General features: G+C 39.2%; 2 protein-coding genes and 1 pseudogene across 2 annotated transcripts in view, besides 2 other annotated features; 2 read left to right on the forward strand and 1 right to left on the reverse strand.

The window, feature by feature from the left end:
- Positions 1-27,202, forward strand: part of RBM27-POU4F3 (RBM27-POU4F3 readthrough) — a 138,124-nt gene that overhangs the window by 34,049 nt on the left and 76,873 nt on the right. Inside the window, exons 9-13 of the mRNA NM_001414499.1 lie at positions 17,290-17,439; positions 20,796-20,940; positions 23,092-23,245; positions 23,857-24,153; positions 25,838-25,978. Of these exons, the coding sequence (NP_001401428.1) occupies positions 17,290-17,439; positions 20,796-20,940; positions 23,092-23,245; positions 23,857-24,153; positions 25,838-25,978 (887 nt within the window). The remainder of the gene's footprint in view (positions 1-17,289; positions 17,440-20,795; positions 20,941-23,091; positions 23,246-23,856; positions 24,154-25,837; positions 25,979-27,202) is intronic.
- The window catches only part of RBM27 (RNA binding motif protein 27), an 85,619-nt gene that overhangs the window by 34,049 nt on the left and 24,368 nt on the right, over positions 1-27,202 (forward strand). The window contains exons 9-14 of the mRNA NM_018989.2: positions 14,058-14,222; positions 17,290-17,439; positions 20,796-20,940; positions 23,092-23,245; positions 23,857-24,153; positions 25,838-25,978. Coding sequence (NP_061862.1) covers positions 14,058-14,222; positions 17,290-17,439; positions 20,796-20,940; positions 23,092-23,245; positions 23,857-24,153; positions 25,838-25,978 — 1,052 coding nt within the window. The remainder of the gene's footprint in view (positions 1-14,057; positions 14,223-17,289; positions 17,440-20,795; positions 20,941-23,091; positions 23,246-23,856; positions 24,154-25,837; positions 25,979-27,202) is intronic.
- Positions 5,171-5,340: an enhancer, noted in NCBI's record as "experimental_81715 CRE fragment used in MPRA reporter constructs". NCBI's record gives its function as "activates a minimal promoter by MPRAs in K562 erythroleukemia cells, with activity observed for both the introgressed and non-introgressed 5:145622472 variant alleles {active_cell/tissue: K562}" and the evidence as "EXISTENCE:reporter gene assay evidence [ECO:0000049][PMID:34662402]".
- RNU7-180P (RNA, U7 small nuclear 180 pseudogene) lies at positions 7,538-7,600 on the reverse strand (annotated as a pseudogene).
- Positions 19,370-19,539: an enhancer, noted in NCBI's record as "experimental_81725 CRE fragment used in MPRA reporter constructs". NCBI's record gives its function as "activates a minimal promoter by MPRAs in K562 erythroleukemia cells, with activity observed for the non-introgressed 5:145636671 variant allele {active_cell/tissue: K562}" and the evidence as "EXISTENCE:reporter gene assay evidence [ECO:0000049][PMID:34662402]".

The following is a 27,202-nucleotide window of genomic DNA, read 5'->3' on the forward strand; positions in this document are numbered from 1 at the left end:
ATTTTACTCTGCCATGGAGTAGCAACATTTAGTCTCTCCTTTTTATTTTTTTGAGACAGAGTCTCGCTCTGTCACCCAGGCTGGAGTGCAGTGGCACAATCTCAGCTCACTGCAACCTCTGCTTTCCAGGTTCAAGTGATTCTCTTGCCTCAGCCTCCCAAGTAGCTGGGACAGCAGGCGTGTGCCACCATGCCCAGCTAATTTTTGTATTTTTAGTAGAGACGGGGTTTCACCATGTTGGCCAGGCTGGTCTCGAACTCCTGACCTCAGGTGATCTACCTGCCTCGGCCTCCCAAAATGCTGGGATTATAGGTGTGAACCACTGTGCCCAGCCTAACGTCAAGTCTCTTCTAAAGGAAATTTATTTTGAAGCTTTTTAAAAAAATTGTTTATCTGATTGATTTTCTAAAGCATAAGATGTATCTCCTAAGAAGTATACAAAAGAGCGGGTTAATTATGCCTAATAATTAACTTGCATACTGAAATAAAGGTAGAGCATCATTTAAATTGTAATTTTCTGTATTTAGGCTGTTTGTGACATTCACATTTGATTGTAATAATACATTTTTCTTGGGCCAGGCGCGGTGGCTCATGCCTGTAATCCTAGCACTTTGGGAGGCCTGGGTGGGCAGATCATCTGAGGTCGGGAGTTCGAGACCATCCTGACCAACATGGAGAAAACCCGTCTCTACTAAAAATGCAAAATTAGCTGGGCGTTGTGGAGCATGCCTGTAGTCCCAGCAACTCGGGAGGCTGAGGCAGGAGAATCACTTGAACCTGGGAGGCGGAGGTTGCAGTGAGCCGAGATCGTGCCACTGCACTCCCGCCTGGGTGACAGAGCAAAACTCCGTCTCAGAAAACAAAAAACAAAATGATTTTTCTGGAATCCTAATTCTCTTTTGTTTCTTAGGTGTTTTATTGTTTACTAAAGCTTTAAAAAATTACTTCCTTCAAAAACATTTTTTAAAAAGGTAGTTGGTTGTTAAAAATGTCAAATTAGAAGATTTTTTTTTTTTTTTTTACAAGGCCTGGTAACTTTATGGATATGTTCCTCTTTTATGTAACTATGTATATCATAAAGTTTATTTTGCATCCTAAACATTTCTGTATCTCTTTGATGTCTTGGAGAGGCAATTCAGCAAACTCGTTAAGCCCAGTTTCAAATCCTGGTTTTATCATTTACTATCTTTGTGACCTTGAGTAAGTTGCTTAGTCTCTCTGTAGCTCAATTTCCTCTTCTTTAAAATGAGAATAATATTACCTCATTAAGGTTGTTTTGAGTAATAAATTAATACATCTAAAGCATCTAAAAAAGTGCCTAGCCACTAGTAAGCTATAAGGATTCATTATTATATTATTGTAGTTATTATTGTCTCCTGAAATTTCAAACTCTGAAATTGAACCTATTAACTTCTTAAATCTGTACCTTCTACCATCCCTGTTTTTGTCAATGGAGTAACACCCACCTAATACCTAGAATTGAAACCTTCACAGGACTGACTCATTGCTTTGCTTTTTTACATCTGGTTAATCAAAAATTCTTTTTCTTTGAAGTAGCCCTTTCTATTTCTTCTGTGGCCTCTGCCCTCATCCACGCTAGATCACTTCACATTTGGATTATTACTGCAGCCTACTTGACACCATTATGTTTTATGTTTAACTTCCCTAAGTCATACCACATAATGCTGCTAAGCTAATTTTCCTGAGAAATCCAACCATGAAAGTTCCTTATGAGAACTTTTCGGTGGCTACCATTTCTTTCTGAGCCATCAGTAAACCCCTCTCTAGGACTTCTAACTCCTTTTTTTTTTTCCTTTTCTTTTTTTTTTTTTTTTTTTTTTTGAGACAAAGTCTTGCTCTGTCACCCAGGCTGGAGTACAGTGGTGCAATCTCAACTCCCTGCAACCTTTGCCTCCCGGGTTCAAGCAATTCTTGTGCCTCAGCCTCCCAAGTAGCTGGGATTACAGGCATGTATCACTATACCCAGCTAATCTTTTTGTATTTTGGGTAGAGATGGGGTTTTGTTATGTTGGCTAGCTGTCAAACTCCTGGCCTTAAGTGATCTGGCTGCTTTGGCCTTGCAAAGCGCTGGGATTACAGGTGTGAGCCACCACGCCTGGACTTTTTTTTTTTTTTTTTTTGAGACAGAGTCTCAACTCTGTTCCCCAGGCTGAAGTGTGGTGGTGCCATCTTGGCTCACTGCAGCCTTGATCTTCCAGGCTAAGTGATCCTCCCACCTCAGCCTCCCAAATAGCTGGGGCCACAGGCATGTGCCACCACACCCGGCTAATTTTTGAAATTTTTTTGTAGAGACGGAGTCTCACTATGTTGCTCAGGCTGGTCTCAAATTTCTGGGCTCAAGTTTCTCCCACCTGAGCGTCCCAAAGGGTTGGGATTACAGGCGTGAGCCACTGTTCCTGGCCTTTAACTCTTTCAATAGTCTACCTCTTCCTTCTTGGCAATCTTTGTCCACTATTCCTCAACATGCATCTTCTCTGGTAATGCCAATTATACCCTTTCTGTGCCCCCGTCATGGCTCAACTTTCCCCCCCAATCTTCTTTCCTACTAATATACTCTGTCTTCACCTCTTTCTAGGCCCAAATTCTAAGTATACTTGGAAGACATGATTGCTGTTTTCTATCTGTCTGTCTGTCTGTCTGTCTGTCTGTCTGTCTGTCTATCTGTCTGTCTATCTAGAGTCTCACTTTGTCGCCCAGGCTGGAGTGCAGTGGTGAGATCTCAGCTTATTGCAACCTCTGCCTCCCGGGTTCAAGTGATTCTTGTGCCTCAGCTTCCCAAGTAGCTGGGATTACAGTCGCCCACCACCACACCTGGCTAATTTTTGTATTTTTAGTAGAGATGGGGTTTTGCCATGTTGGCTAGGCTGGTCTCGAACTCCTGACCTCAGGTGATCCGCCTGCCTTGGCCTCTCAGAGTGCTGGGATTACGGGCATGAACCCCTGTGCCCGGCCTTTTGCTCTGTTTTAAACTCTTACAATACCAAAAAGCATTTGTTACATAATGACATATACTTATATATAGGCCTACTGTTTGATTTTTTTTAATATATGTAAATCTTACATTCAACTGAGCTTCTACAGAACGGAAATCACATTTGATACTTAAGTAATTGTTTTTCCTGTTTCATACTTAGTATCTCGCTGTATTCTGATTGCTATAGCGTCTTTTCATAGAACATGTTTGTTGCTCATTTTTTAATTATGGGAAATCTCAAATATATATAAAAGTAAAGAGGACAGTATATGGAACTCCGGAGTACCCAGTATAATGAAGTTCTTTGTGCTTATCCCTCAGTTTCAACCTTTATCAATTTATAGCGGAGCCTCTTTTATCTATTTCCCCCCGAATCAGCTCTTAATATTGTTTGCCTTTTGGACTTGTAAATATGAAAAAGTGGACTATTCCAGAGTGTGTTGCAGATGGCATATTTTTATACTGTTAAATTTGGTATTATGACTCATGATAAAAATTCCATCTTGTTTTTAATTTAAAAAAAATCTGGCAATTACCATTTATTTTTATATTGTTAAATTTAACATTGTGACTCACTCTATAAATATTCCATTTGGTTTTAATTTTTAAAACTCTGGCAGTTACCATTTATTTCAGTGACTTAGCTTAATAAATAAATTAATTTGGCAAATATTTATTGAATGCCTACTATGTGCCAGGCATCGTGCCAGACACTAGGGAGCCAAGGTGAATAAGATATTAGATCTCATGTTTTTTGAAGTCCATTTTTCTGTTTTATTTAAAAGTAAGACTATTTTGTAGTATATGAGTAAAGGCCTTTTAGAACTGTATTTCCAAATTATTATTATTTTTTGAGACAGTCTTACTCTGTTGCCCAGGCTAGAGTGCAGTGGCGCAACCTCCACCTCCCAGGTTTAAGCTTGTGCCTCAGCCTCAAGTAGCTGGGACTACAGTCGTGGGCCCCAAGGCCCACCTAATTTTTGTATTTTTGGTACAGATGGGGTTTCGCCATGCTGGCCAGGCAGGTCTCAAACTCTTGGCCTCAAGTTATCCGCCCGCCTCGGCTTCCCAAAGTGCTGGGATTACAAGTGTGAGCCACTGTGACCGGCCTCTAAACTCATTTTTTAAAGACTGGTAACGTTTCTAAGAAAATTCTTGGGACCTGTACAGTTAGCAGCTTGTTATTTTGCCAGGTTAAGGTCTGTATATGAAAATATCTAATACTTTAATTTTAAAAATATGTTTTTAAACTGAAGAAAGGACATAATCTCAGAATAAAAGATAATCTTTTTAAAAATTTATTTAAAAGTTTTAAAATTTTTAGTAGGCACAGGTTCTTGCTTTGTTGCCCAGGCTGGTCTCAAACTGTGGGCTCAAGTGTTACTCCTGCCTCAGCTTCCCGAAGTGCTGGGATCACGGGTGTGAGCCATCACACACGGCCTCAAGGACAATCTTTTAATTAAAAAAAAAATCTTTTGTATGTAGAGGCAGGGTCTTGCTGTCTTACCCAGGCTGGGTGCTCAAGCAGTTGTGCCTTGGCCTCCCAAAGTGGGTAGGATTGTAGGCATGAGCCACCATGCCTGACTTAATCTTTTAATATTTGATTTTATGAAATAGCACTACATATCCCCCCCGTTTTGTTGTAGACCAATAAAAGGTGATAATTTCCCCTTAGCATTTGTGAATTACTGCTTTAGAGGATTGTCTTATATGCTGCATCAGTGTTGATAAACAGATTTGATTGGTTGGCAACTGAATATTTTGAAAGTTATAGAATATTCATATTGAACACTTCAGAAGTCTGCTATGCAGAGAAATATGTGGTTTTCTTTCTTGAGTGTGAAATCTGATTCTAAAATTTATAGAGAAATTTTGAAGACTAGTAGAGTTCCTGATAATCTAAACATTAAAAAGGGGATGTGTAGTATAGTTTGTCAGTCATAAGTTTATTTATTTATTTTTTTAGACGGAGTCTTACTCTGTTGCCCAGGCTGGAGTGCAGTGGTGCGATCTCAGCTCACTGCAACCTCCGCCTCTTGGTTTCAATCGATTCTTCTGCCGGAGCTTCCCCAGTAGCTGGGATTACAGGCACATGCCACCAAGCCCGGCTAATTTTTTTTTGTATTTTTAGTAAAGACAGGGTTTCACCATGTTGGCCAGGCTGGTCCCAAACTCCCGACCTCAGGTGATCCTTCCGACTCAGCCTCCCAAAGTGCTGTGATTACAGGTGTGAGCCACCACTCCTGGCCTCAGTTTTTAATATCTTTCTATTACCTTTATATTTCTAATAAGTTTTTAATATTTTTCTATTCAGTTGATTTTAAGATAGCTTTTGGGCTGGGCATGGTGGCTCATGCCTGTAATCCCAGCACTTTGAGAGGCTAAGGCAGGCGGATCACCTGAGGTCAGGAGTTTGAGACCAGCGTGGTCAACATGGTGAAATCGCATCTCTACTAAAAATACAAAAATTAGCTGGGTGTGGTGGTGGGCGCCTGTAATCCCAGCTACTCAGGAGGCTGAGGCCAGAGAATCACTTGAGCCTGGGAGGCAGAGGTTGCAGTGAGCTGAGATTGCGCCATTGCACTCTAGCCTGGGCAACAAGAGCGAAACGCCATCTCAAAAAAATAAATAAAATAAAGTAAAATAAAATAGTTTTAAAAATATTTTTGTCTTTGAGACAGATAATTGAATCCTTCACATTGTTCAAGTTTATTTTTCTAAATACAGGTCAAGCATTCCCAGTCTGAAATGCTCCAAAATTAGAAACTTTTTGAGTGCCAATATGATGCTCAAAGGAATTACTTACTCATTGAAGCATTTTGGATTTTGGATTTTAAGATCTGTGATGTTCAGCCAGTAACTATAATTCAGAGATAGAAAAATCTGAAAAAGTCTGAAATCTGAAACAGTTCTGGTCTCAAGCCTTTTGGATATGGGATACTCAACTCGTACTATAATTGGTAATTTCAAAAAGATTAGAAGTTTGATTCAAATAAAGTAAAAAGCTATATGTATGTTTTCAGTGTGTAATGAGAACTTGAGCTGTCTTAAAAGTTTAACAAGTTGGGAAAGTTTAAATTATGGATATTTTATTGTCATTAAAATTAATATTAAAATTCACAGCACAGAAAATATAGGTGAAAAATGCATATCAAATGGTGTTTAGTTGTGCAGATGATGTCAATAAGGACCCAAAGTAAACACAGAAAAACGAAATCTGGATTTTTCAAGGTAGGAGTTGGAGTCTGCTCAGTGTTAGGTACTAGGAATATACAGATGAATAAGAAATGGTCATCTAAGAATCTAAAAATCTAATAGTGGGAAAGAAATATGTTAAAAAAAATCTCCACAAAATGAAAACCCATTACAGTATATTTTGCTATTACAGCTAAAAAAAAACCCCAGGTAACAAAGGAACTAATTCTGTGAGAAATAAAGCATTCATTTAGGCTGCAGTTGTCACTGGTTTTGGAAAAAGACAAGTTGGATGTTAAAATAAGAAAAAGAATTAACCTGATTCTGAAACTGAATAGGATATACATGGTTCCTGGTAAAGTTAATATTGGCTGAATGCAGTGGTTTACCCCTGTAATCCCAGCACATTCAAAGGCCAAGGTTGGGAGGATTGCTTGAGCCCAGGAGTTCAAGGCTGCAGATAGTACCATTATACTCTAGCCTGGACAGCAGAGAGAAGTAAGACCCTGTCTTAAAAAAAAATTGATTATAATTTATAAAAAACTTTGAAATTTTGTTACTTTTCTTGAGTTAAAATGTCATAGACCCTGTGAAAATAAATAACTAACTGTGTTTGGAATTTTGTGTAAAGACAGCAATCAACTGTTAAAATCAACTATTTCCTCTGAAGTACTTAACATTTTACCCATGCCCCCCCACCCCCTTTATTTCTTTTTGAGACAGAGTCTTGTTGTGCTGCCCAGACTGGAGTATGGTGGCATCATGGGTCACTGCAGCCTCAACCTTTCAGGCTCTGGAAATCCTCCTACCTCAGCCTCCTGAGTAGTTTGGGACCACAGGCATGCACCACCATGCCCAGCTAATTTTTTAAATTATTTATAAAGATGAGGTCTTTCTGTATTGCCGAGGCTGATCTTGACCTCCTGGGCTTGAGCTCTTCCCTGAACCTTAGTCCCCCAAAGTGCTGGGATTACAGGCATGAGCCACCATGCCCAGCTTACCCCAATTTTAAAAACATTTATTTATTTATTTATTTACCTTTTTTTTAGAAATAGGGTCTTGCTCTGTTGCCCAGGGTGGAGTGTAGTGGCATGATTCTAGCTCGCTGCAGCCTTGAACCACTGGGCTTAAGTGGTCACCCCACCACAGCCTCCCAAATAACTAGGCTGTACAGGCACATGCCACCATGCCCAGCTAATGTTGAATTTTTTTGTAGTCTTGCTGTGTTGCCTAGGATGGTCTCAAACTCTTGGCCTGGAGCAATCCTCTCACCTTGGCCTACCAGAATGCTGGGATTACAGACCTGAGGCATTGTATTTGGACCCCTAATTTTTTTTTTTTTTGCATGGGGGTTTCTTGTTGGGAGACCAGAGAACTTGCTAGAGAAAATCTTAAAGAGCTGTACCACTGCAGCCTCCAAGTTTGAACTCACCAACTCAGTATATACTTTTGGCTTTTACAAGACCATTATTAAGTAAAGTACACTCTCTTTTCTACCTTGCTTTTGGTCTGTTCTGCTTCTTGAAGAAGCATAGTAAAAATATTTTGTAACTGCTAAGTTCGTTCGTTGTACTGGATGTGTGAAAAAGTAAGAGTAGCAGGTAACATCCTGGATTCTAGAGACTGATTCTTAGGTTGAAGATAACTGTCCAGTCTTAATATAAATTCACATAAATCTTTATCTTTCAGAAAATACTTTCCTACTAACTGTATAAAATTGTTAAAACAGTATAATTCTAAATTTGAGATTTGCTCATTTAATTCTGTGGCATTATGTAGAATAATGGGTTTGATGGCTAGAAAAGTAAGTCAGTGTCTATTAGAGTCCTTGTATATTGTCTAGAGCAGGGGTCCCCAAACCCCGGGTCACGGTGGCACTAAATTATCATAGGAGACTCAACGGTATTGTAAATTGCGCATATGAAGGATCTGAGTTGCGCATTCTTTATGAGAATCTAATGCCTGATAATCTGAAGTGGAACAGTTTCATCCTAAAGTCACCACCTCCACTCACCCCTGCCATTTGTGGAAAAATTGTATTCTGTGGAACCGGTCCCTAGTGTCAAAAAGCTTGGGGACTGCTGGTCTAGAGGCTTTCTCCCCCTTGTATTTGACCTGATTCATGTTGTATTAGTTGTGACATTGTCTATTTCAACATACAGATATTCATCCAAAGAAGTACTTAAGTTTCATTTGGGTACTTTAAGCTTTCATTTTTTCTTTAAGTGACTGTTTGATTTCTATTATACATCAGGCACTGTTTAGCCCTTGGAACTTCTCAAGTGTACCAGGTACCTTGTATTCTAATCAAGAAGACACATAAATATGGCCAGTATTGGGAAGATGTAGCTTTTTATTTTTTCTGGATTTGAGTTTTTAGCTTAAAACTTAAAATTTTTTTCCTGTGAATACTCTTAAAGACAAAATCAGGAAAATTATACAGAGTTGCTAAAATTTTAGGTTGAATAAAGACTGTCTTTATTCTGACTAGAGTTAATATTAAGAAGTTGAAAATATTGATATTAGGCATGTTACCTATATGAACAATTTAAGATGGGAACATGAACTTGGGATGTTTGCAGTTTGGAAACTACTCTGACCAAAACTAAACTGAATGAATATAAATTCTGACAGACTGATCTTCACCATTACTGTAACCTATTTGATAGTGAACATTTTTTAATGTAGCTGGGCGTGTGGGCATGTGACTGTAGTCCCAGCCTCTTGGGAGGCTGAGGCAGGGGAAGATACCTTGAGGCCAAGAGTTCCAGCTGCAGTGAGCTATGATCACACCTATGAATAGCCACTGTACTTTAGCCTGGATAACATAGTAAGACCTCATCTCAAATTTAAAAGAGAAAACATATTATGATGGAAAATTTCAAATACAACATACATAAAAGTAGACTGTGTAATGTAGTGAATCTTCATGTACTTATTTCTGGCTTCAACAGTTAATCAATGTGGTTAATCTTGCTTCATCCATAACCTACTCCTGACTTGATTATTTTAGTGCTGTGGTTTTTTTTTTTTTTTTTTAGACAAGGTCTTGCTCTGTCACCCAGCCTTGAGTACAGTGGCACAATCTTGGCTCACTGCAGTCTTGACCTCCTGGGCTCAAGCAGGCCTCCTGTCTCAGCCTCATGAGTAGCTGGGAGCACAGATGCGTGCCACCATACCTGGCTGATTTTTAAATTTTTTGTAGAGATGAGGGCTCCCCATGTTGCCCAGGCTGGTCTCAAACTCCTGGGCTCAAGCAGTCCTCCAGCCTCAGCCTCTCAAAGTGCTGGGATTACAGATGTGAGCCATCACACCTGGCCTTAGTTTTTATTTTTGTTTTCTTTTTTATTGCTCCTCAAAATTCAGCTTAATGACATGATTGTTTTAGAATAAGTCCCAAATATAGTAGCATTTCATCTGTAAAAACTTATGTATCTTTGAAGATAAGAATTAAACATACATACACACAAAATCCTACATACACACAGTACTATTATCACAGTCCCCCCCAAAATTTGTAACAGTTTACTATTCCTTGTGAAATATCCAGTTAGTTTTCATATTTCTCAATTGTATCATAAATGCCCTTTTGTACCTGGTTTATTTGACGCTATATCCAAACAGGGTTATACATTACGTTTAGTTGATATCTTTCTTAAGTCTTTATAGAAATATCCTTTACTTCTTTTTTTTTCTCCCTTGGCGTTTATTTGTTGAAGAAATAGATCATTTGTCCTAAAGAATTTTCTCACATTCTAGACTTGGCAGATTGATCTTCTGGTGTCATCTAACACATTCCTCTATCCCCTGTATTACCTGTAAATTTGAAGTTAGAGCTAGGTATTTGATAAAATTCAATTTTTTTCTTTTTTTGGCAAGAACATTTTATAGATGGCGTTATGTACTTCCTACACAGTACATTATAATGCTCATGATGTCTGGTTGTCTCCTTTCTGTGTTATAAATATTGATTAGTGTGTAAAGGTGTTTTCATCCTGATCCATTCATTTTAAAACTTGCTTGATGGTTTCAACAGCCATTTTTGATCATTGCCTGGATTTGCTGTTGTATGTGAAACTCTAAATCTATAGTTTCTTCTACATTTATTGCTAGCATTCCATATAGTTGACTATAACAACCATTTGGTTAACCTGAAATGCAGTTTTTACAGAAGAGACATGATATATGTGTATTTTCTTTCATTTATCAATTTTAAGAATGAGTTGATTCCCTAGTTTTTTCCAAAGGGAACTCCTGTTTTTTTTTTAAGTATCATTATGAACTCATGAATTTTTAACATTTGATATGTTTCACTCCATTATAGTCTTTTTTGATGTTCAGATTGTCTCATCTTTAATCAATAGGAGCCTCTTCATGTTGGCTTCTGCTAGTTTTTTTTTTTTTTTTTAATTTTTGACATGCCAGTTTTTGATAACTCTCTTGCTTCTGGAAGGACAAGGTATACTAAGGTGTACCAGGCTCATCTTATAAATTTTCTGCCCTGACCTAGAATTAGCCCTTTGTCTAAAGAACTCTGTTGCTTTAGAAGTAGTATTTAGAGACTCAGTAGGAATTGTTTAAGAAAGTCAGGCTACATTTGGATTAATTGCCATCTTTTTGAGGTATTTGTTTTTTATTTTGAGGCAGAGGCTTTCTCTGTTACCCAGGCTGGAGTGCAGTGGTGCAGTCTCGGCTCATTGCAACCTCTGCCTCCTGGGTTCAAGTGATTCTTGTGCCTCAGCCTCCAGAGTAGCTGAGATTACAGACATGCACCACTACGCCTGGCTAATTTTTGTAATTTTAGTAGAGACGGGGTTTCACCCTATTGCCCAGCCTGGTCTCAAATTCCTGAGCTCAAGGGATCCACCCGCCTTGGCCTCCCAAAGTGCTGTAATCACAGGTGTGAGCCATCGTGCTCGGCCTTTCTGTATGTTCTTTGTCAGTAGTTTTAAAAACAGACATTGGGCAAAGTAGCCTTTTGGTTTCCAGTTTACTTTGAGACAGCTATTATTAATTAGACATACTTAATTAGATAGTATACTTAGTACATCAAGTGATGTATCATACATTTAAAGTAGTCATATGGACTAAGATTGTACTTCCCATTTTTCTATATATGTATGTATTTCTATTTTTTAATTAATTTTTTTTCTTTTAAAGACAGCATCTCACCCTGTCACCTAAGCTGGAGTACAGTGGCACAATCGTGGCTCACTGCAGCTTTGACCTTCTGGCTCAAGTGATCCTCCTGCCCTAGCCTTCCAAATAGCTAGGACTACAGCTGTGCGCCACCATGCATGGCTAATTTTTAAAATATTTAGTAGAGACAGAGTCTCGGTATGTTACTCAGGCTGGTCTCAAACTCCTGAGCTCAAGTAATCCTCACACCTTGGCCTCCCAAATTGTTGGGTTTATGGATGTGAGCTACTGCACCTGGCCCCATTTTTCTCTTTAACATACTACTACATTCTGCTGATAGGTCACTCTTCACAAGTAATTCCCTGCCATTGATTGTGTGCTTACAACTATTTGTTCCCCTCATTGAGACTATGTTAAATTGGGCTGGGCACGGTGGCTCACGCCTGTAATTCCAGAAGTTTGGGAGGCCGAGGTGGGTGGATCACCTGAGGTCAGGAGTTTGAGACCAGCCTGGGCAACATGGTGAAACCCCGTCCCTACTAAAAATGCAAAAAATTAGCTGGGCGTGGTGGTGGGCACCAGAAATCCCAGCTACTAGGGAGGCTGAGGCAGGAGAATTGCTTGAACCTGGGAGGCAGAGGTCGCCGTGAGCCCAGATCATGCTACTGCAGCTCCAGCCTGGGCGACAGAGTGAGACTCTCAAAAAAAAAAAAAAAAAAGAAAAAGTAAAAAAAAAAGAAAAAAAGAAAATATGTTATATTGTTTTTGCAGTGTAATAATTAGCTGATTCTTTTTAAATGTACTTTTTTTTCCCCATCAACTTTTATTTTAAGTTCCAGGGTACATATGTAGGATGTACAGGTTTTTTACGTAGGTAAATGTGTGCCATGGTGGTTTGCTGCACAGATCAACCTACCACCTAGGTATTAAGCCCAACATCCATTAGAAATGTAAATTTTAAAAGGGTTAATGCTAAGTGCACAGTTATACAGTATGATTTGTTACTTCCTCTTTTGCTTCTTATATACGAAGAAAAGGGTAGTGAAGTTTAGCATCTCCATATTCCCTTTAGGGACTTACTGTGAAACCAAGTGGTTGCTTTGTAGCCTGTCCTATTAAGGTGCATTTAAAATCTTTAGGAATTTTACAGCTTTTAAGGACATTTCACCAGGTATAAAAAAAATTCAAGGCTGGGCGCTGGGTCCGGTGGCACTTTGGGAGGCCGAGACGGGCAGATCACGAGGTCAGGGGATTGAGACCATCCTGGCTAACACGGTGAAACCCCGTCTCTACTAAAAATACAAAAAAATTAGCCAGGCATGGTGGTGGGCGCCTGTAGTCCCAGCTACTCGGGAGGCTGAGGCAGGAGAATGGCGTGAACCCGGGAGACGGAGCTTGCAGTGAGCACCACTGCACTCCAGCCTGGGTGACAGAGCAAGACTCCGTCTCAAAAAAAAAAAAAAAAAATCCACTTTATTTTGTCTTGTGTCACATAGTAAATGTCTGATGTTGGACATATATAATAACTAAATCATATAAATATGTCTCAAATGGGGTTGTCGGTGAAAAAGATACTGTTAAATGGACACCCAAAGGGATTTTGCTCCTTGATACCTTATCTTTTTCTAATCCTGTCCTTCAGATTTTGGCTTCATTGTGTGTGCATTCTTGCATTAGCCTATATATAAATCCTAAATGTGTTGTCTTTCAAAAAGTGCTTCTTAATATCCAGGATAATTTCATGTGTCCAGTGCTGTGCTGGTCTGTTTATCTGTTTTTTTTTTGTCCTTTTTTTTTTTTTTTTTTTTTTTTGAGACAGAGTCTTACTCTGTCGCCTAGGTTGGAGTGCAGTGGCACGATCTTGGCTCACTGCAACCTCCACCTCCCGGGTTCAAGCAGTTCTCCTGCCTCAGCCTCCCTAGTAGTTGGGATTACAGGTGCCCACCACGACGCCCAGCTAATTTTTGTATTTTTAGTAGAGACGGGGTTTCATCATCTTGGCCAGGCTGGTCTTGAACTCCTGACCTCATGATCCACCCACCTCGGCCTCCCAAAGTGCTGGGATTACAGGCGTGAGCCACGTGAGCCACCGTGCCTGGCCTGTCCTTTTCCCTTTCTCAATTTTTGTTATCCATGTGCTCACAGAGATAACAAATTTTCACTATCTTTAATTTTTTTCTTTGGAGCATTTTTTATTCTTTGCGAAGGTATGCATATAGTGGTTTGTTTTTTCTTAATGTCTTTGTCTTTTTTTCTGCTCTCAGATACGGGAGCATATTTGGTGCAAACCTGAAATTATGTGGGTTGGTTGGAGAGGGGTTGTTTTCTTTTTAATGGATATGACAGTTTTCATACCTGCATATCTCATTGGATAGAAAAATTCTGTGTAATTAATAGCTCAGGGCTCCTTTGTCTAATAACCTGATATGGTTCACTGTTCAGCTTTAGATAAAATTAGCACGTAGTTTTCTCCACTTAAGATCATAAAAGATGGAGATTATATATACTACTTAATTCTTATTCTTTTCTTTATACCTCAATGGATCCTAACCAGTTGCACGTCTGTTCTTTCTTGAGTTAGAAAGAATCCCAGGAACATCTTTCTGTACTTCTATTCCTGTTGGTTTAATTTCTCTGTTTTTGGCTCAAAGTCTCAGGAAACACATCATCACCTAAGAGAAGCTTGTGACTCTCATTCCCAGCTGCCCTCCTATTCTTTCCTCTATAGGACAGCCCATGTACTCTCGTGAACATGGTGCTGCTGCATCTGAGCGACTTCAGTTGGGGACACCGCCTCCTCTGTTGGCAGCTCGTTTGGTGCCACCTCGAAACCTCATGGGATCCTCCATTGGATACCATACCTCAGTCTCCAGCCCTACCCCTCTGGTTCCAGGTAAGCTTTGCTACAGATGGCCATCCACCTCACTGATCTTTTTTACCTCAAGCTGGCCAGTCTAAGCGGTGACCTGGCATCCTGATCTGCTGTTACAAAGTCCCATTAAAGCTCATAGGTAGTTTTATTTTCTGCTCCTTTGCTTCTTTGGTTTGTCTCTAGTGGCTGCTAGATGATTAGGCCTCCTGTGTATCTGTCATCTCTGGTGTCCTCTATATTTACTTTCAGTGCCTCGGTAACAAAGTGATGCTAGTTCCTTGAGCTAGTTTCTAATCAGGTAGATAGAAAGATAATATCTACTTGAATGTTTTCTAATTAGTTATACACTGTAATAAACTAGGTTAATTTTTCTTTAAAACAAAACAAAAATAAACATCTGGTTTCTTGCCGATCATATCCTTTTTCCCCTTTTGCCCCTTGTATGTGTGCATAATGTAGCGATTCTTAAAAACTCTTTTCTCCTATTGACATACGTATTTTGAAGGATCTGTGGAATGCTTTGTGGGTGTTTCATGAGGTGTTTTTAACCCTTTCTCACTTTGCCTTTGGATCTTATTCTTATAATTAACTAAAGGGCTTTTAAGTTAATTGGTGTTCTGTGTATTCCCAGGATTTATGGCACAAGGTCATTTGATTATGTAACTTCTTTAAAACTTTCTGCAGTCTTAACTGTAGGAGATTTTCTGTCAGTAGTGCCAAGTGGTAACTGAAAACTTTTTAATCATAATTTGCTAATCCTTTTTTAAAAAGATAAAGCAGTATGCATTTTGTATGTTATATTGCATGTAATTTTTAGAGTTGGCATAAGCAGGGAAGCTGTTACTTTACATATCATTTTCAAACTGTGTCATCCTTAAACACATTGAAATTTAATAAGCAACTATGTTAGATTTACTTTTAAGCTAGACATATCATTACAGTGTGTTTCCATCAGGAGGGAATGCTCATGATTAAATACTGTCTTTAGTTGTCTTAAAGAGACAAAAAATTTATAAAGAGAGGAGTTAGAACAAAAGCTAAAATAATTAAGTATGAAGCCCCCAAAATACTCTTTGGCGGATAACTATAATCATAGTCCTGTAACCATTGAGGCAAAATTATTTGTTTTTATTTATTTATTTATTTATTTTTGAGACAGTCTCTCGCTCTGCTGCCTAGGCTGGAGTGCTTGGAGTGCAATGGGGTGATCTTGGCTCACTGCAACCTCCACCTCCAGGGTCCAAGCGATTCTCCTGCCTCAGCCTCCTGAGTAGCTGGGATTACAGGCGTGCATCACCAAGCCCGGCTAATTTTTGTATTTTTAGTAGAGACGGGGTTTTGCCATGTTGGTCAGGCTGGTCTCGAACTCCTGACCTCGTGATCTGCCCACCTTGGCCTCCCAAAGTGCTGGAATTACAGGCGTGAGCCACTGCGCCCGGCCCAATTATTTGGTTTTATTGATCATCATCAGGAAACTTTGAGACTGAATGCAAGCCTTAGGAATGAAATAAAAAATCTCTAATAGGAATGTCATTGTGATAATAATTTATTAAAATTTCTGTGCCATTGTTCTCTGAGGAGGACAGTACAGATGCCCCAAATGATTAATTTTCAACATCATTTAACATTTTATTAGAGGGAGACAGTTCTTAATCTAGTGATGCCTTTTTTGTGTGTAATTCCATGAGCTGTTTTCAAAACCTGAAAAAAGGGGAAAAATGGGGGTGGGAGGAAGAGAAGGAATGCCAACCAGCAGTTCTAGTTCTTATATTAGATATCTCAGAATCACCTGTGCTTTAATGGCATTTTATTATTATTGCCTCATTATAGCTTCTGGATGTTTTGTGCAAGAAGGAAATTAGCTTGTGAATCTGAAGTTAGGAGGAGCACAATATTCGTGGGAGAGGTTTAATCTAAGAGTATTGGGGGTGAGACGTTTTCTGGATTGAGGACTTCTGAATCCTAGTTGTGCTGCTTATTGGCCGTTGACTCAAATGCCTGTAGTGGCCAGGAAGATCCCCTAAATGAGGATAATTTGCTGATCTTATATTCTGAATCACTTCTATACTGTAAATCATAGAAGTGACTGACGTGTATGTGCGCGTGTGTGCTTTTTTATTTGAAATATGGTTTATGTGTGAAACCAGCTGTTCTCACTCTAGTTTGAAGAAGTGTACATAACCAAATGAATACATTTTCTTTTCACCTCAATTAAAAAGGTACCTAGAAATTGGAGATATGATGGATAACAGAGGAAACTCAATTCTTCACATATGGTGTTTGTGTATGTGAAAATTTGTATTAACAAATGTGCATTGGGCTGGGCACAGTGACTCACACCTGTAATGCCAACAGTTTGGGAGACTGAGGTGGGCAGGTGGCTGAAGCCCAGGAGTTCAAGACCAGCCTGGGCAAGATAGTGAGACTCCATCTCCGTTTTTTTAAAATTAGAAAAAAAAGTGCATTGACATTTGGATTAGGTAATTAATATATAGAGTAGAAATGAGTAGGTGAGTGAATCTGAAAGTATCAGTATTTAAGAATGGATGCATATATCTATATTCTGTAATAGGAGCATTTTTTTTTTTTTCAGTTTCAAAAGGTGTGTCTAGATACTGTAACACAAAGAGAAATACAGTCATCCCTTCACCTCAGGTTCCACATCTGCAGATTCAACCAACTACAGATCAAAAATATTCAGGAAAAAAATAAAAATAAAAAAAAACCAGTACAATAATTAAAAGGAATGCAAGTTTTAAAAACAATATCCATAACAGCTATTTACGTAGCATTTATATTATGTATTATAATTAACCTAGAGATGTTTTAGAGTATACAAGAGGATTTACCTAGGTTATATGCAAATACCACCACCCTGTTTTATATCAAAGTCTTGAACATTTGTGCATTTTTATATCTGCGGGAGGGTCCTGGAACCAGTCCCTCACAGATACTGAGAGGTGACTGTAGGTTGATGTATTTGTTGGAGAATATATGTTTTTTAAGCAGTTGTTTATTTTATAACAATGAGAGATGGTTTAACCTCTCTCTGATTTGTTGTGTGTTTTGTTGCTTTGTTTTCCCTCAGATACATATGAACCAGATGGTTACAACCCAGAAGCTCCTAGTATTACTAGTTCTGGTAGATCTCAGTACAGACAGTTCTTTTCAAGAACTCAGACACAGCGTCCCAATCTGATTGGCCTAACATCTGGAGATATGGATGTAAATCCAAGAGGTGAGAATACCTTGAACTTTTTCTGATGCTAAGTGTTATGCAGTAGTTGGATATAGTTATTACATTTGCATTTCTGGCCTAGCTTGAGGAAATTAAGGTCCAAATTACTTATATATTATCTCTTTGGAGGGTGCTATGTATTAATCTCAGATTTTTTAAATAACTTTATCTCCAAATTTTATTTTAAAGCTATAGTTAGGCTATATTTGTTTTTAAATGCAAATCATACTAATATTATTTAACTGCTTCTTTTGGTAGGACTTTAGGCTGTTTTAGTTTTGTTGCTAGGCACTGTGTTAGATATTGTGTATAGAAAGATGAAATTACTGATCCCCTGCCCTCAAAGAACTGATCATTGAAGGACCTGCTTTGTATCCTAAGAGCTATGCATCACACTAATTATATTGAGAATCTAAAATGTTACAATTATTTGATAATTTTTAACACTTATAATTACATCTTTAAGTTAGGACCTTTACAAAACTTAGGAATAAACCTTAAAAATGAAACAAAACCAAGATTAAATGCAAGCATTTACCTTTAATATGGCTGATAACCTCCTACCTACTCCCCCACTAAAAAGGTTGGTTAATGATGGTTAGTTTGATGAGATTCCAGTTTTTTTCTAGCTATTATGAATTTCCAATATATAATTTCAACATGAGTGACTGGCCATGGACTGCACTGACACAATAGTTTTTTGATTAATTTAATCATCTGGCAAACATTTTCCTTTTCTTCCTTTCTTTTCCTTTTTTTCTTCTTCTTCTTTTTTTTTTTTGAAATGGAGTCTGGGTCTGTTGCCCAGGTTGGAGTGCAGTGGCGTGATCCTGACTCACTGCAACCTCTGCCTCCCAAGTTCAAGGGATTCTCCTGCCTCTGCCTCCTGAATAGCTGAGATTATAAGCATGTGCCACCATGCCTGGCTAATTTTTGTATTTTTAGTATAGACGGGGTTTCACCATGTTGGCCAGGCTGGTCTTGAACTCCTGACCTGAGGTTATCCACCTACCTTGGCCTCTCAAAGTGCTGGTATTACAGGTGTGAGCCACCATGCCCAGCCTAGCATTTTCCTGTTCTTCCTTTCTATCCTAGCTTTATTAATTCTTTTTTCCTGCTGTTAATAACACTATTACCACTATAAGAATAACAGGTTTTGTATGAAGACTACACCAAATGCCTTCTCATATATATATATTTTATATATATATTATTTATATATATATTTTTATATATATTATTTTTATATATATTATTTATATATATATATTTTTTGAGACAGGGTCTCCTTCTGTCACCTATGCTGGAATGCAGTGGCACGATCTCGGCTCACTGCAACCTCCGCCTCCTGGGTTCAAGCGATTCTCCCACCTCAGCCTCCTGAGTAGCTGGGATTACAGGTGTGCACCACCACAACCCTGCTAATTTTTGTATTTTTAGTAGAGACGAGGTTTCACCATATTGGTCAGGCTGGTCTTGAACTCCTGACCTCAGGTGATCCAGATCTCACCTCGGACTCCCAAAGTGCTGGTATTACAGGCATGAGCCACTGCACCCAGCCTCATATATATTATTGTCTCTCATATTTCTATTTTTATTCTCCTTTTACAAGTAAAAACACTGAGGCTTAGAGAGGTTTAAAGAACTTGCCCAAAGTCACACAGCTGTTAAGTGGCAGAACTAGAATTCAGAGGAGAAGTCATGTTGTGTATACAACAAGATTTCTTTGTTGTCTTGGGTAAGTCACTTAACCTTTAGTGACTTCCTTCCTTTAATATGACACACTTCATTAAATTAAAAAAAATTAATTAAAAAAAAGCATTAGGCAATGTTAGCTGGTAATGATAAAAACTATTTAAGGAGAACATAATGGCATCTCAAACTCTAGAATGCTTTATGCCATCGCAGTTGCTATCTTCTTCATTAGCCTTCTGCAAACACAAGTCCCGCAAGAGCAAGGATCACGTCTATTTTATTCACTAATGTATACCCAAGGTCTGCTATAGTTGCTGAGCTGTAAAATAGCTAAACGTTAAGTGAATGAATCTTTACATCATAATTTCCCTGACAAAGATGAAATCAAATGTACCAACTCCTAACCATATACCTACCCCAGCATTCAGCTCTGAGTTATTCTTTGCTTGGTGGAGTTGCTAAAGTTAAGAGAAATACTCAAGATTTAATAGGCATAGTTTTGTGTTGCTAATTTCTGTTTTGTTCAGTACACGTCTTCCTACCCACAGGTTATTTATTGTAAGGACAGATTCTTAGAGTATTTCTGCCAATTTATAGTATTGGCTTTGGATTTTCTTCCCAACTTTAAACCTGTGGAAAATCAAAAGAAACACAGTGAACATTTGAATGCCTTCATTTAGATTCACCAGTAATATTTTACTACCTTTGGGCATGAATGCTCTCTTGTATACTCTCTCTTCTCTTTCTTCTCTCCACTCACATTTTTTTGTTGAATCTCTTGAAATTAATTGGTAGACATTGTGAAACTTTAAGTCCTTTACCTTATATCTAAGAATAAGACAGTCCTATATAAGCACAGTATTATTGCCACACATAAAACCATAATTCCATAATAATATGTAATCCTTATGATTTGGTGAACTTCTTGTTGAATCATACCAGGAGGCAAATAATGTCCATTAATGGTGCTAAGTTTGATTGCTTGTATAAGGTGATCATTGTTGGAGCTCTCCATTGTTTTTGTTTTTTTTTTTTGGTTTCTTTATGAGACCGAATTTCACTCTTGTTGCCCAGGCTGGAGTGCAATGGCACAATCTCGGCTCACCACAACCTCCGTCTCCTGGGTTCAAGCGATTCTCCTGCCTCAGCCTCCCGAGTAGCTGGGATTACAGGCATGCACCACCATGTCTGGCTAATTTTTTTGTATTTTTAGTAGAGATGGGGTTTCCCCATGTTGGTCAGGCTGGTCTCGAACTCCCGACCTCAGGTGATCCGCCCGCCTCGGCCTCCCAAAGTGCTGGAATTACAGGCGTGAGCCACCGTGCCTGGCCCAGAGCTCTCCATTGTAAATGTAATTTTTGGAGTGGTACTTTGGCACCATAAATATCTTGTTTTCCAGCAACCTTTCACCAATATTTTTTTCATCTATTGATCATCCATGCCTGAGTCAATTATTACATCGAGGTTAACTTTGAGTTTTGAAACATGGATTTCTATTTTTTATAGAAAAAGGCATTTGTAACTTTTTCTTCTGTTAGGCATTTCTAAAAGAGAAATGATAGTAGTTGAGCTATTCATAGTAGTTTTTAGCTTTTAGACTAAATATATTAATCATTGAGACTCCTGAAAAACTCAGTAATTTCAATTTTTTTTTCCAACAGCTGCTAACATTGTGATCCAGACTGAACCACCAGTTCCTGTTTCGATTAATAGCAACATAACCAGAGTAGTTCTTGAACCAGATAGTCGAAAAAGAGCTATGAGTGGTTTGGAAGGGCCACTCACAAAGAAACCTTGGCTGGGAAAGTAAGATAATTTGCTAATTAGTAGCATCTAATTGTTATTGTCGTTTGCATTGGTAAATTCATAAAAATAAGATTTGTCATTAATTAATGTTTTTCAAACTAGGTATCTTGAAGTTAGGGTTCCAGGAGACATCTTTAGAATGTTGTAAAAATTAAAAAGTTAACAATATTTATAATTTTTTTTTTTTTTTTAAAAGACGTAGTCATCCAGGCTGGAGTGCAATGGTATAATCTCAGCTCACCTCAACCTCTGCCTCCTGGGTTGAAGTGATTCTCTTGTCCCAGCCTCCTGAGTAGTTGAGATTACAGGTGCCAGCCACCATGCCCACCTGATTTTCTTGTATTTTTAGCGGAGATGGGGTTTCACCTTGTTAGTCAGGCTGGTCTCAAACTCCTGACCTCAGGTGATCCACCCACCTTGGCCTCCCAAGGTGCTGGGATTACAGGTGTGAGCTACCACATCCAGCCCAAAATAGGTATTTCTAATTCGTACCTACCTATTTCTACGCCTAACCCAATATTAGAAATTACTGAGACACTAGCAATGGATAGAAAAGAAGAAAAAAATGAAATCAACGGTGAAAAAAAAAAGCTTAGTACCTTTGCAGAAGTTGAAAATATGCCGTTAAAGATGATGTTCTAGCTGGGCACAGTGGCTCACGCCTATAATCCCAGCTCTTTGGGAGGCCAAGGCGGGTGGATCACTTGAGGTCAGGAGTTCGAGACCAGCCTGACCAAAATGGAGAAAGCCAAAATACAAAATTAGCCAGGTGTGGTGGCACGCGCCTGTAATCCCAGCAACTTGGGAGGCTGAGGCAGGAGAATCGCTGGAACCTGGGAGGCGGAGGTTGCAGTGAGTTGAGATTGCACCATTGCACTCCAGTCTGGGCAAAAAGAACAAAACTCTGTCTCAAAAAAAAAAAAAAAAAAAAAAAGGTGGTGTTCTAGCCTTCATTTAATGATGTTAGAGTCTTTGATAATTGTGGTAGATCTTTATGGTAGATCTATTTAGCATATGATTTTAAGTGTTAGTTGGGCCTTTTCTTTTTGTAATCTATTGCTGTTCACCTTTTCTATTCTCATGTAATAAGAATAATGTGGCCGGGCGCGGTGGCTCACGCCTGTAATCCCAGCACTTTGGGAGGCCAAGGCGGGTGGATCATGAGGTCAGGAGATCGAGACCATCCTGGCTAACAAGGTGAAACCCCGTGTCTACTAAAAATACAAAAAATTAGCCGGGCGCAGTGGCGGGCGCCTGTAGTCCCAGCTACTCGGGAGGCTGAGGCAGGAGAATGGCGTGAACCCGGGAAGCAGAGCTTGCAGTGAGCCGAGATTGCGCCACTGCAGTCCGCAGTCCGGCCTGGGCGACAGAGCGAGACTCCGTCTCAAAAAAAAAAAAAAAAAAAAAAAAAAAAGAATAATGTTGGCCGGGCGTAGTGGCTCACACCTGTAATGCCAGCACTTTGGGAGGCCGAGACGGGTAGATCACCGACGCCAGGAGTTCAAGACCAGCCTGGCCAACATGGTGAAACCTTGTCTGTACTAAGCATACAAAAATTAGTCGTGCGTGTTGGCATGCACCTGTAATCCCAGATACTCAGGAAGCTGAGGCAGGAGAATCACTTGAACTTGGGAGGTGGAGGTTGCAGTGGGCCGAGATTGTTCCACGGCACTCCAGCCTGGGCGAATGAGTGAGACTCCGTCTACAAAAAAAAAAAAGAAGAATGTGAAAATTGCTTAGTAATTTCCGAAGAATGTTAAGGGCTCACAAAAGGAACTTTAAACAAATTAATCAATCAGTTAATTTATTACATAGAGATGTGGTCTTACTATGTTCCCCAGACTGGTCTGGAACCCCTGGGCTCAAGCAATCCTCCTGCTTTGGCCTCTCAGAGTGCTGGCGTTACAGGCATGAGCTACTTCGCTCAGCCTGTAATCTGTTTCTGGATGCTTATGTATTTTCTGTGGTTTGAATTTTGAATATAATGTTTCATATGATTTTGAAGAAGTTTTCTGGGATTATAGGTGGAGCCACCATGCCCAGCCACAAAAGGCACTTAAAAAAATTATAAACCTAAATTCTTTGTGGTTATATCTCTTTGCTAGGCATGAAGTAGGAGAATTAACCAAGATGTATTAATCTTCCTTTTAGGCAAGGAAATAACAATCAAAATAAACCAGGGTTCTTACGAAAGAATCAGTATACAAACACCAAATTAGAAGTCAAGAAAATCCCTCAGGAATTGAACAACATTACCAAGCTCAATGAACACTTCAGCAAATTTGGAACTATTGTTAATATCCAGGTAAATGTGGCTATGTCAGTGACAGAATCCAGGCATTTTATGGGTCTTGGGAATATTTCTATCAGCTCACCTTGTTTAAATGAGTCAGTGGTTATTCTGATCATCTCTGCTAAGTGCTGTAAATGCCACCATATATCTATATACCCACTTTTATGATGGACTTGTTAAACCATGTTTGTTCTTGTGAATTCATTTGGTTCTTTTCTGCAATCTCTTCCTGAAAGAGAATGGGTAGCCTCACAGTTTTGGAGACTGAGAAGTCCAAGATCAAGGTGCTGGATGATTCATTTCCTAGGGAGTGCTGTCTTCCTCGCTTGCAGATGGTTGGCTTCTTGTGTTCTCACATGGCAGACAGAGAAAGAGAAAGAGGGGGTCAGGGCAGATCTCTTTCTCTTCTTTTAAGGCCACCGATACTATTCATTAGGATGCACCTTTGTGACCTCATTTAACCTTAATTACATCCTAAAAGCTCTATCTCTAAAACAGTAATGTTGGAGTTTAGGGCTTTAACATGTGTATTTTGGGGAAAACATTCATTACATAGCAGTGGGTCATAATTTATTTAACTATTTTCTGTTTTTGGGAATTTATATTGTTTTATTTTCTTCAAGGTTGCTTTTAAGGGTGACCCAGAAGCAGCCCTAATCCAATATCTTACCAATGAGGAGGCCAGGAAAGCCATTTCTAGCACAGAAGCAGTTCTAAACAACCGATTCATTCGAGTCTTGTGGCATAGGGAAAATAATGAGCAACCGACACTACAGTCCTCAGCACAGCTGCTCCTGCAACAACAGCAAACACTTAGTCACCTCTCACAGCAGCACCATCACCTGCCACAGCATCTACATCAGCAGCAGGTGCTAGTGGCCCAGTCTGCTCCTTCAACAGTGCACGGAGGTATCCAGAAGGTAATCTGGTTCACTGGGAATTAAAGGTCTTTTAGTTACACCCTCTAGATCAGTATTTTTCAATTCCTGGTCCTTGGGTCTTCTACAGAAGAGCTACTCTTAATTTGAACTGCAGACCAGTAGCATCTGATCTCCTGGGATCTTATAGAAATGCAGATTCTTGGGGGAAAAATTTCAGATTCTTGAGCCATACTCCATCCTACTGAATCAGAATCCCTATGGGTGGGGCCCAAGGATTTGTGTTTTAACAAGCTCTCCTGGTGATTCTTACATACCTTAAAGTTTGAGACCTGCTATTTTACATCAGAATCACTTACCTGGGTGCAAATTTCTGGGCTTCAGCTTCTCAAACCTCTGTAGAGTCAGTCTCTAGATACAGGGCCTATAAATATACATATTTAACAAGTACTCTTAAGTTATTGTTATGCACCCTAAAGTATAATAACCATCTACCACAGAGCAACTTTAACTGTAGAGCTATTTATTTTTTAGAATCAGTCTTTTTTGTGTCTACCCATTTGCCCTCCTTTTTCCCATGTAAAAAAGTTATATGTTCCTTCTAAAAATGGGAATAGAAGCTCCAAGAGAATTGGAATTTTGCCTGTTGTGTCCATTCTATCCCTAGTGCCTAAAACAATGTCTGGTACATATTGCTCAAAGCATATTTGATTGAATAGATGAAGGAAGGAAAAAACAAAACAACAAACTACCACACATCAGAGCCATTCAGAGATTGACCTAGATAATCTCATGCTTAGATTAAATACAGTCAGATTTTTAAAAAGTATTCCTTACAGTACATGGCATCAACTCCATTTATCATCCTGCTCATTTGCATCTAAATTCTCTTTCAGTTATGTTTGTATCCCACTTCATGTAAGGGTGCAAAGGTGAATGCTTCCCCTAGATGTTGGGTGAATAGTGTAGAAAAGAGTTCATACTATCACCTTCATGGTGATGATTAAACATGTTCTGTTAGTACAGCCCAAGATTGCATTATGTTTTTGAGGTGATCATTTCACAATTATTCATATTAAGCCACTGTCAGTTAAGACCCCCTAATTCTTTTCTTCTTCTTTTTTCCTTTTTTTTTTTTTTTGAGACAGTCCTGCTTTGTCGTCATTCAGGCTAGAGTGCAGTGGCTCAGTCTTGGTTCACTGCAACCTCTGCCTCCTGGTTCAGGCTACCTGCCTCAGCCTCCTGAGTAGCTGCGACTACAGGTGCATGCCACCACCCCTGCCCAATTTTTGTATTTTTAGTAGAGACGGGGTTTCACCATGTTGGCCAGGCTGGTCTTGAACTCCTGACCTCAGGTGATCCACCCACCTTGGCCTCCCAAAGTGCTGGGATTATATGTGTGAGCCACTGTGCCCAGCCAAGACCCTCTAATTCTTTCAGAGCATTGCATACTAGAGGAAACATTAAAAAATAATTAATGGTTTTTTTGTGTGTAGGTGCATGTATATTTTGTTGTGATATGTTTTAGACATCCCAAAAAGTATGAATAATCTATCATTTGTATATTCACCAGTTCCCCTTAAAAAATAAAACCTTACGGATAATTGAAGCACCTTCCCGTTCCCATTTTCTTATCTTCTTCCCTAGAGTAATCATCTTAAATTTGTACCATTTCTAGGCATGTTTTTAAACTTCTGCCACATAAGTGTTCATTTTGTATGTGCAGATGATGAGCAAACCACAGACATCAGGTGCATATGTTCTTAACAAAGTTCCTGTTAAACATCGTCTTGGACATGCAGGTGGTAACCAGAGTGATGCATCACATTTGTTGAATCAGTCTGGTGGTGCTGGAGAAGATTGCCAGGTATGCATTTTTGGGAGCTTCAGATATATTTAGAATCATTCAGTGAATTAACAGAATAAATCAGTTATCATTCAGACAGTGAAGACAGTTGTGACAGTTAACCTAAGTGTGGCAGGTATACCTCTCTAGTTTCCATGTTTCAGTCAGAAATTTGCTGGTGAAATTTTTTTCCTATTCAAAATTAAGTAGGAGGCTGGGCGTGGTGGCTCACACCTGTAATCCCAGCACTTTGGGAAGCCTGGGTGAGTGGATCACCTGAGGTCAGGAGTTTGAGACCAGCCTGGCCAAAATGGCGAAACCCCCTCTCTACTAAAAATACAAAAAAATTAGCTGGGCGTGGTGGCAGACACCTGTAATCCCAGCTACCCGGGAGGCTGAGGCACGAGAATCACTTGAACCCGAAGGAGGAGGTTGCAGTGAGCCAAGGTCGTACCATTGCACTGCAGCCTGGGTGACAGAGCAAGACCCTGTGTCAAAAAAAAAAAAACACAAAAAACAAAAACCAAGTTAAGTAGGAATTTGAGAATTTTAGATATTTATTTGTTTGTTTGTTTGTTTGTTTGTTTTTTGAGACAGAGTTTTGCTCTTGTTGCCCAGGCTGGAGTGCAATGGCACAATCTCGGCTCACCGCAACCTCCACCTCCTGGGTTCAAGCGATTCTGCTGCCTCAGCCTCCTGAGTAGCTGAGATTACAGGCATGCGCCACCATGCCCAGCTGATTTTGTATTTTTAGTGGAGATGGGGTTTCTCCATGTTGGTCAGGCTGGTCTGGAACTCCGACCTTAGGTGATCCACCCCAGAGTGCTGGACTACAGGCGTGAGCCACTGCACCCGGCTGAATTTTAGATATTTATTAATAGATAAGTGTCTTTATTAATTTCTTTAATTTCATCTTTAAGAATTTAGTGAAGGGTATTCTGTCATAGTAAAAAACCAAACTTTGAAATATGTTTTAAGTAATTTATTTTTAGTAATATATCTATACTATAACTCTTGAGCATGGTGATTATTACAAAGAGAGCTAAAAAAAAAAAAAAAAAAAAAGGGAAAGCAAAGAAAACTGCTATCCCAAAAATACTATGTAGCTTCTGTAACTGAAACAACCTGATAATGACTCATGAATAGACAGACTAGTGGAACAGAATAGAAAATCTAGAAATAGACTCAGTTGCAAATAGGAGTTTATTATATAATAACAAAGTGGAACAGGTCAGTGGGGAAGTT

The sequence above is a fragment of the Homo sapiens genome, chromosome 5 (assembly GCF_000001405.40).
Source record: "Homo sapiens chromosome 5, GRCh38.p14 Primary Assembly".
Taxonomy (NCBI): Eukaryota; Metazoa; Chordata; class Mammalia; order Primates; family Hominidae; genus Homo; species Homo sapiens.